General features: G+C 44.7%; 1 protein-coding gene across 2 annotated transcripts; it reads right to left on the bottom strand.

The window, feature by feature from the left end:
- Positions 1-346: 346 nt before the first annotated feature.
- On the bottom strand, positions 347-7707 carry GAGE12G (G antigen 12G). 2 transcript variants are annotated; one of them, NM_001098409.4, is made up of 5 exons: positions 7597-7704; positions 6466-6557; positions 5880-6000; positions 2931-3056; positions 350-463 (listed from the first exon to the last, which is right to left on the bottom strand). In NM_001098409.4, the coding sequence occupies exons 2-5, from the start codon at positions 6547-6549 to the stop codon at positions 441-443; spliced, it is 354 nt and encodes a 117-aa protein (NP_001091879.1). In that variant the 5' UTR covers positions 6550-6557; positions 7597-7704; the 3' UTR covers positions 350-440. The 2 variants fall into 2 exon arrangements, with proteins under 2 accessions (NP_001341351.1, NP_001091879.1); NM_001354422.1 differs by lacking the exon at positions 2931-3056 and having other exon boundaries at positions 347-463; positions 7597-7707.
- Between the last annotated feature and the right edge of the window lie 1646 nt (positions 7708-9353).

Raw genomic sequence — 9353 nt, 5'->3', positions numbered from 1 at the left:
CAAGAGCACCCCGGCCAAGATGGCGAAAGCCCATCTCTAGTAAAAACACAAAACTTAGCCAGGCGTGCTGGTGGGTGCCTATAATCCCAGCTACTCGGGAGGCTGAGGCAGACAATTGCTTGAATCCGGGAGGCGGGGTTGCAGTGAGCAGAGATCGCGCCACTGCACTCCAGCCTGGGCGACAGAGCAAGACTCCGTCTCAAAAGAGGACAAAGAAAAAAAGAAAAAAAAAGAACGATGTCTCTACATACCAGCTCAGAGAGTTACAATACACGATTTCAAAGAATGATACATATTTCACAGCATCAAAAAGCTAGAAATAAACTTCACAAAAGATGCGCAAGACTTCTTTGCAGAAGGCTGTAAAGCTTTATTGGGAGAATTTTAATGAACAAATTTCCAACATAGGAGCAGCCTGCATCATTTCAACGTGTCTTCTTTTAACACTGTGATTGCTTTTCACCTGTAACAGAAACACAACGATTGGGAACATGACTTAGCAACAGATTATTCAGATGACCCTAAAGGCATACAAAGCACACTACAGTTTGGGTTTTATTAAATGGACTAAAAACAGAACCCTATGGGAGATCCCGTGTCTTACACGCAATTGAACCTCTGCATTAACTTTGAGCGTAGACCTGCAGAATTTAAAAGGAATTTCCTCCCTGAACATCAAGTGCTTCCTTTCAAGTCACAAGCACTTACAATTAACAGTCAGCAATTTGGAAAACACATGCGTAAAGCATACTTCAGTTGATTACTCAGGAAGTACTAGAGTCATGGTCTTTCAACTTCAAATCTTATCAATTCATGTCTCTAAAGGTGAAACTTACATGTAACATTTGATATGATTAGAGATGATTATATCGTATGTGTGTCTACAGTCTTATTAGAAATAGTGGCTCATGAAGACTGACAGTGGGGCAGGGAGCATGCATAGCACAGGCATCTTACTCACACCCATGCTGAGCATCACTGACCTACATGCCACAGATGATACGAACTAAACGGTCTCTCGCCATTTGATATTTATTTCAGTCACTCAAGGTTTCCGTGGGGAAAGTTTTAAGAAGCAATTGTACCATTTGACCCAGCCATCCCATTACTGGGTATATACCCAAAGGACTATAAATCATGCTGCTATAAAGACACATGCACACGTATGTTTATTGCGGCATTATTCACGATAGCAAAGACTTGGAACCAACCCAAATGTCCAACAACGATAGACTGGATTAAGAAAATGTGGCACATATACACCATGGAATACTATGCAGCCCTAAAAAATGATGAGTTCATGTCCTTTGTAGGGACATGGATGAAACTGGAAATCATCATTCTCAGTAAACTATTGCAAGAACAAAAAACCAAACACCGCATATTCTCACTCATAGGTGGGAACTGAACAATGAGATCACATGGACAGAGGAAGGGGAATATCACACCCTGGGGACTGTTGTCGGGTGGGGGGAGGGGGGAGGGATAGCACTGGGAGATGTACCTAATGCTAGATGATGAGATAGTGGGTGCAGCGCACCAGCATGGCACATGTATACATATGTAACTAACCTGCACAACGTGCACATGTACCCTAAAACTTAAAGTATAATGATAAATAAATAAATAAATAAATAAATAAATAAATAAAAGAAAAAAAAAGAAGCAATTGTTCATTAAAAGCCAGAGAAACCCTGCCTGGGCAACACAGTGAGACCTCATCTCTACAAAAATGAAAACAAAAAAATGTAGTCAGGCACGGTGGCTTGTGCATGTAGTTCCAGCCACTCGGGAGGCTGAGGTGGGAGGACGGCTTTAGCCTGGGAGCCAGAAGTTGCAGTGAGCTGAAATTGCATCACTGCACTCCAGCCTGGGTGACACACTGAGACTCTGTCGCAAACAAACAAACAAACCAAGAAGAGGGAGAATTCACAATTTCACAAGATCTTACACTACGTATTCAGCTCTCCACACGGAAAAACTAGGATGAAGCAGAGGGCCGGCTCACTGTCTTACTGACAATGAAATCTCAATTCAGAGATTTTCAGATGACTCGGGCCAGGGTTTCATGATTTGTGATTAACAAACCATGCGAAGCAGATGATCTCTGTGTCCCACGCATTCTATGCAACAGGATCAGAGTATGAAAGAAACGGAATGCAAAATGGTTTTAAAATCTCTGACTTAAACTCACTATTTTCATAAGAACCAAAGATAGGTTTAGAAGGGAAAGGACTCACTCAGAATCTCGCCAAGGCTGTAAGAGCTGGTATTAGAACCCGCATGAGTGCTTCAGCATTTTTCACACCAAGTGATGGGTGTTACAAACGTGTTATGTATTGATTAAAAGCAGACCTTTACAAAAGCATCTGAAAATTGTGAGCTACTGGTTTAAGGATTTACACTCAAAACTTTTAATTCAACATAGCTTTGACTCAGTTTGTTTCCCTACCTGACAGTCTATCAGTCGGGTGCTGGGGCCTGAACTACGTTTCAAATAACCTTTATATAAGAACTCTGTTACTAAAGAGGCAGTATTGTTACCTCTCCGTTATTAAAAATATAATGCTGGGTCGGGCACGGTGGCTCTCGCCTGTAATCCCGGCAATTTCAATGGTCGAGGCAGGTGGATCACCTGAGGTCAGGAGTTCGGGAACAACCTGTGCAACATAACGAAACCCTGTCTCTACTAAAAATACAACAATTAGCTGGGCGCGGCGGAGCATGCCTGTAAGCCCGGCTCCGCCAGAGGCTCAGGCAGGAGAATCACTTGAACCCTGGAGACAGAATTTCCAGTGAGCCGAAATGGCACCACTGCACTCCAGCCTGGTCTTCAGAGCGAGACTCCGTCTCAAAAACATAGTAACAATTACAATATGATACTGTGGAAACAGACACCCTACAATGTGCATGCCTAATGGATTGCCTACCTTCTTCAGGCGTTTTCACCTCCTCTGGATTTGGCGGGTCCATCTCCTGCCCATCAGGACCATCTTCACACTCACACCCAGTCTGTGGGTGACCCTGTTCCTGGCTATGAGCTTCAGGCTTCGGCCCTTAAAAATAAAAAATACGTATCAATTTAAGCAGTAAAACATAAAGTATGAATAAGAAAATAATATTCATGCTCTCGGTATTATTATATAAAAGCTTTAGCTAACGTAATACTAAATGTGTTGATAAGAATCCCAGGAACATTATTTCAGGAGTCCATTAGCAGAAAACAGGAAAACAAGGTGTTCCAAATAATACCCTCTTCCTTTCCGAAGACTGCCCTCAGACAACTTTGCTGCCTCCTTTGCACTTCTCTCTTATTCTACTTCTGATTGTCCTTCTCGTATTAAATGACTCAAGGCTCAAATCCCGTCTCTCACAGCACTTACACTCCTAGCGCTTAGACTCTTACATGGCATGAGTAGCCACCAATAAACGCTGAGTGAGAAAACTCTTTTAAAAATACATGAAAAAGCCCAAACTGCAGAATATTCTGCAAACCAACTGGTCTATCCTCTCCAAAAATGTCCGTATCGTGAATGACAAGAAAAATTAAGGAAACATTACAGGTTAAAGGAAACTAAAAACACCTGAAAAGCACATGCAAGGTGTGATTCTGAACTGGACTCTGGATCAGAAAAAGAAATCCTATCAATAAAATTATCTGGGCCGGGCGTGGGGTCTCACGCCTGCAATCCAAACATTTTGGGATGCCAAGGTGGGCAGAGCAGGTGAGGCCAGAAGTTCAAGACCGCAGTGGCCGGCGCCTGTAGTCCCAGCTACACGGGAGGCTGAGGCATGAGAATCCCTAGAACCTGGGAGGTGTAGGTTGCAGTGAGCCGAGATCGCACTACTGCACTCCCACCTGGCCCACAGAGAGAGACTCCGTCTCAACAAAGAAAAAAAAAAGGAAAAAAGAAATTTTCTGGGGAACTGGCAAAATTTGAGTATGCACTCTGTATTAAATGACTCCATTTTCTCATTGTTAAATTTCCTGATTTTTATCTTTGTGCAGTGATGATCCAAGAAATGACTTTCTCTTTGTTCTGACGATATACACACCCTCAAGTACATAGGGTAAAGGACCATAATCCCTGAAACTTTATCGAGACAATTCACCATTAATAACAGTAAACATATATCCGTATGTGTGTGTGTGTGTGTGTGTGTGAGTGTGTGGGCAGCACGGTAAGAGACGGAGGGAAGAGATGTGAAACCTATGAAGCGAAAGCTACTAACAATTGGTGAATCCAGATGAACAGTATATGAGTTCATTGTACTATTCTTGCAAATTTTCTATGAATGTTATGTCTTGAAGATACATACAGTAAAAATTTAAAAGAATATATGATAACTGCACTGAACTTTAGGAAGAAAGGAATTTCCAATTGTGGTAAAAAATACAGATATCCTAAAATTTACCATCTTAACTATTTTTAAGTGGTACAGTTCACTAAGGAGTTACGTTTGCAACATTACCAGCCACTAGGCACAAAAACTTTGCATCTGTGTTTTCCTATACCATGAAAACTTTATTTATTTAATGAATTTATTTATGTGTTTATTTATTTATTCATTTATTTATTTATTAGCAATGAGGTCTCACTGTGTTTCCCAGGCTGGGCTTGAACTCCAGGACTCAAGCAATCCTCTCACCTCGGCCTCCCAAGTAGCTGGGACTATGAGTGCATGGCATTCAGCCCAGCTTTAGACCTTTCTCCTAAATGACAATCTAAGGATAAACCACAGGACATGTATAATGCTTATATTCAGCCCTAGAGTACCAACAGCAGTGTGCGTCAGCTGAGAAATCTGAAGTCTACCACGTGGGTAGGATTTCAGTTACAATTACAATGTCAGTTTCTGAAGGATTGATTAGCTGGATGGATTTGAGGACTATGGAAAATCTTACAGTCACGACACCCATTACCTATTGGGGTAAAGAGAAACTTCACTTTGTTCAAATAAAGTTATATTTAGGTCCGAAGGTCCTAAAGGTAATATTCCATAAATGAACCCCGTGAAGAACAAAGCACCAAATATAACATTGTTTGTGAATCACAGAAAATATACTGTCCCCCGCACTGAGAATAAGGGAGTGGGCGGACAGCAATTAATGGGCATTGTTGTCAGTCAGATTCTAGGAACTTTTAACAGTGCATCCCTGGAATAATCCATGACCTCCGTTACATAAATGCTTCCTTTCAAAACATTTTATCTCGGAGAAATTATTTCCATCTCACGTTAATCTCAGGATAATTCCGTTTTTGCTTTTCTAACCATAAAAGGATTTAATCACCTCCTAAAGGCCGCTGAGAAAAATCACTAAACCAGCTACCTGTATGGCAGTATCCTCATTTATCCAGCTTTTATCAAACGTACCATATAAAAATATCAATCAAAGGAAACGGGGGCCAACATTCAGCGACTCGGTTTTTGGAGCTGCTCCTGCTCCTCTGAACTGGGTCTATTCTTGGGTCAGTACTAAGCTACCTTACAGTAAAGCCTTTTGAGTTTTAAGCATTTTCAGCAAAATCACTTCCTTCTTTCCAGCAACATACATGATAGGAAGACACAAACCTTAGAACACAGTACAAATGTTGTATTCACCAGTCAAGGGTTCTTGGATAACACACAATCCTGGCACCTCCATTCTCTCATTCATAAAGTCGAGAACTTTTATCATAGTGAGGGATTTGCCTAAGCTAAGCTGCAAACTACATAGCCTCCTCGCTTTTCCAGTCAATTTCAGGCATTCTTTCCATTGTTTTCTTTCCTCCTCTTCCTCCTATGTGACAATGCCTAACACACACACACGTGCACACACACACACGAACACACACACACGCACACACCAGCAGACGTTCTTCTTCCCTTTCCCTCACCTTGACCTGCAGATGCTCCCTCATCCTCTCCCTCCTGAGCAGCTGCAGGATCCTGACGTTGAGTTGCTGGTTCCCCTTCTTCAGGTGTTGCTGGTTCCACTTCATCACTGAACTGCTCGGGCTGGGGAATACGTGTGGGTGTGCAAATAGAAAATAAGTTTCGTTATTGATACAAAATTTTACATATATACACAGAATACATAGCTATTTCTGGTCCTAACTAAGCCTAAAGACATTTCTCCAACTCTATGCTCTATGCCCAATAAGGTTACTCCACCCACAGGGAGGTTACTGTGAGAAAAGTGACGCACGAGGACTTTGGGGGCTATTATACTCTGTGTTGGAATACATGTGTACAATCTGTCATTAACAAACAAAGCCGGAGAAAGAAGTCATGGGCAAAAGCTGAAGAACACGAGAGGAAAAAAAAAATCCTCCAGAATCAATGTTTCCTTCATGAGATGCCATCCTCATTTTTTATGAGCAGGAAAGACCTTTATCAGCATTTCCACACTAATGCAACGACGCTATCACAAAAATTAATTTCTACTAATAGAAAACATCGAATTAACGTTTAAGCACTCACCCGCATAGGCCCAATCATTTCAGGAGGCTGTACATAGCGCCTTGGTCTAGGCCAATAATAGGTCGATCTTCCTCGCCAACTCATATTTCACACTGAAAACAGACAACCGTGATTGGGAACGTGCGCTCCAGAGGGCTGCTATATTCGATCACTTCCATGGATAAATGTTAACTTGCCGTTTTACTTTTGAAAATACTCTCAAAATAAGTCCCAGAGTTAAGCATACGTGTGTACGCTGTCTGAGTGCCTACAAAGCCACTTCTGCTGGCCAGGCTGGCAGAGCAATCATCTTAAGGCGTGTGGCAAAAGGCAGAGGACATTTTTTTCTAAATTTCTTTTGGACACGCGGTCTCGCTGTGTTGCTCAGGCTGGAGTGCAGCGGCGTGATCACAGCTCACTGCAGCCTCGACCTCCCGCTCAAGGGATCCTCCCACCTCAGTGTCCCCAGTAACTGGGAATACGTAGGCGAGCGCCACTGCGCCCCGCAGACAGAGGTCATTTCTGATGAGGTTTAGTTTCACAAGTGCACTCCCCACGAAAACCCTAGTGAATCACAATTCTCGTGATTGCTGCTTTGGGCACACTCCCACTTCCTAGAGCCATTCACCCCCACTCACAACAAGTTTGGTTGGACCGCACTGCCTCGCCCACTCCTTCCCACTGTTTTCGGACCTTCCATGGCGGAGGTGAGACCTTGCAGTGCTTCTCACTCGGGCGCTCCGCACTCCACACCGCTGAGGGGGCGCTCGCCAGGCCGCAGCCTTCCCAGGTGCCAGGCCCCTTCTTCACCGCCCGCCTCGCCCCCGCCGGGGGCCCCATTCAGGGAATCTGCCCTGTGTCGTCGGGGATCCCGGCACCTCGGGACTTCCATCCCCCCAACAGCACTCACCCCGTCTTCACCTGAGCCCCTGACCGCCTCCCCTCCACGGCCCACCTTCCTCCCCGTCCAGGCCCCTTCACGACCACGAAGCCGCCGGTGGCCTCGCAGCCTGTGAAGGGAAGGAGGACGACCTCGTGGCCCTTCTCCCTCGGAGGCCACAGACCAGGAAGCGGGACCCGCCTGACCCACCCGAGGCCCTCTCCACCCTCACTCACACTTCAGCCCCCGGGATGACTGGCCTGCACACCTACCAGATGAATCTCAGTAGAGGAAAAAGAGTCCGGACGGCAGGAACCACACAGCACTGCCTCACAGCTCCCTGGCGTTCTTCACGTGGGCGAAGGGGCCGGGCAGAAGACGCCCAGTGAACATGCGCACTGAGGCGGGAGCCCAGGGAGCATGCGCGGCTGTGGGCTGGGGAGGGCTGCCGTTCCCAGCGCCACGCCCCAAACCCTCCATGCCCATCCTCATTGAGGATAAGGGAATCCCACCTCCCTCTGCTGTTTCCTATGCCTCTGGGACTCAAGTAGTGCTCCCCTCAAAACTCACCCCATCTTCAACTGAACCCCACCCCCAACCCAGGGCCCTCTCTTGCCCCGGACCCACCATGGGGACAAGGACCACTGTGACTGGCTGGGAAGACAGGTAAACCACCTGCGAAAACAGAAATAGCAACCTATCCCAAAAGGAAATTGTTCAATGTGAACAAGTCAGAGAAAGAGACTGAAAGAAAAATGAATAGAATCGCTAGGACCCGTAAGAAAATGCTAAAACGATATCTATCATTTGTAGCATCAGAATCGCAGAGGGTGAAGTGACAGTATTAGGGAAACAGGACAGCCAGAGTGACACCACGTGAAAATATACTCCGTCTTGAAAGCAGCAAGATACATAGTCCTACCAGTCACAACCCATGGTCCTAAGATGTTTGGAGTTGAGAAAACAGATGAAAGGTACCTCCAAGGACATGCTCCCACAGCAGCGGAAAGTGCACGGTTCCCAACACCCATTAACAATATATGCTTTCAACAGAATTATGCTTTCATGGACTTACACACTGGTAAGTCAAGGACAGTTTTCTTTAAATCAATAGAATGATAAAAGTCATCATGCTCTTAGCCCACCCGCACAAAGGCACAGATTAACTTTAGTCTTTATATAGATAAGACCCCTATATAAGAAAAACCAGACCAGGCCAAGGCTCACGCCTGTAATCCTAGTATTTTGGGAGGCTGAGCTGGCCAGATCACCTGAGCTCAGGACTTCGAGACCAGCCTAAGCAACATCAGAAAATCTCATCACTACAAAAAACAAACAAAAAACCATCGAAAAATTAGCTGGGCATGGTGGCATGTACCTATACTCACAGCTCCTCAGGAGGCTGAGGTGGGAGGCGCGCTTGAGCCCAGCAGGTCAAGGCTGCAGCGAGCTCTGATAACACCACCGCACTCCAGCCTCGGTGACAGAGTGAGACGCTGTCTCAAGTTTTAATAATCGAACCTAAAAACGTACAAATTTATCAATCGAATTCACTATATTAACACATGAATGGGAAAAAACGCTGTGGTAATCGAAATAGATGCACTGTTTGATGAAAATCAACATATATTCAAATGAATACTCTCAGCAAATTTGGAACAGAATGCAATGACTCACTCTGATAAAGTCCGTCTACAAAAAAAGGAGAGTGAATAGGATGGTGAAATGTTGAAATTTTTCGGTTTCTCATCAGGGATAAGACAAGGATGTCCACTGTCACCATTGTAACGGGTGGGTCTGCGCAATGCCATAAAATCAGAAAAGGAAATAAAACTCTTTACAATGGCAATGACGGGCCCGCCACGGTGGCCCACGCCAGTAATCCCAGCACTGTGGGAGGTGAGGTGGGTGCATCACTTGCACTCAAAAGTTCAACAACAGCCCGGGAAACATGGCAAAACCCCGTCTCTACAAAAAAATACAAAAGGGAAAAGAAAAAAATATGGCGGAAACAAAACTGCTCTTATTC

This window comes from Homo sapiens, chromosome X (genome assembly GCF_000001405.40).
Source record: "Homo sapiens chromosome X, GRCh38.p14 Primary Assembly".
NCBI lineage: Eukaryota > Metazoa > Chordata > Mammalia > Primates > Hominidae > Homo > Homo sapiens.
The sequence above is the reverse complement of the archived record's forward strand: the minus strand, read 5'-3'. Positions and strand labels throughout refer to the sequence as shown.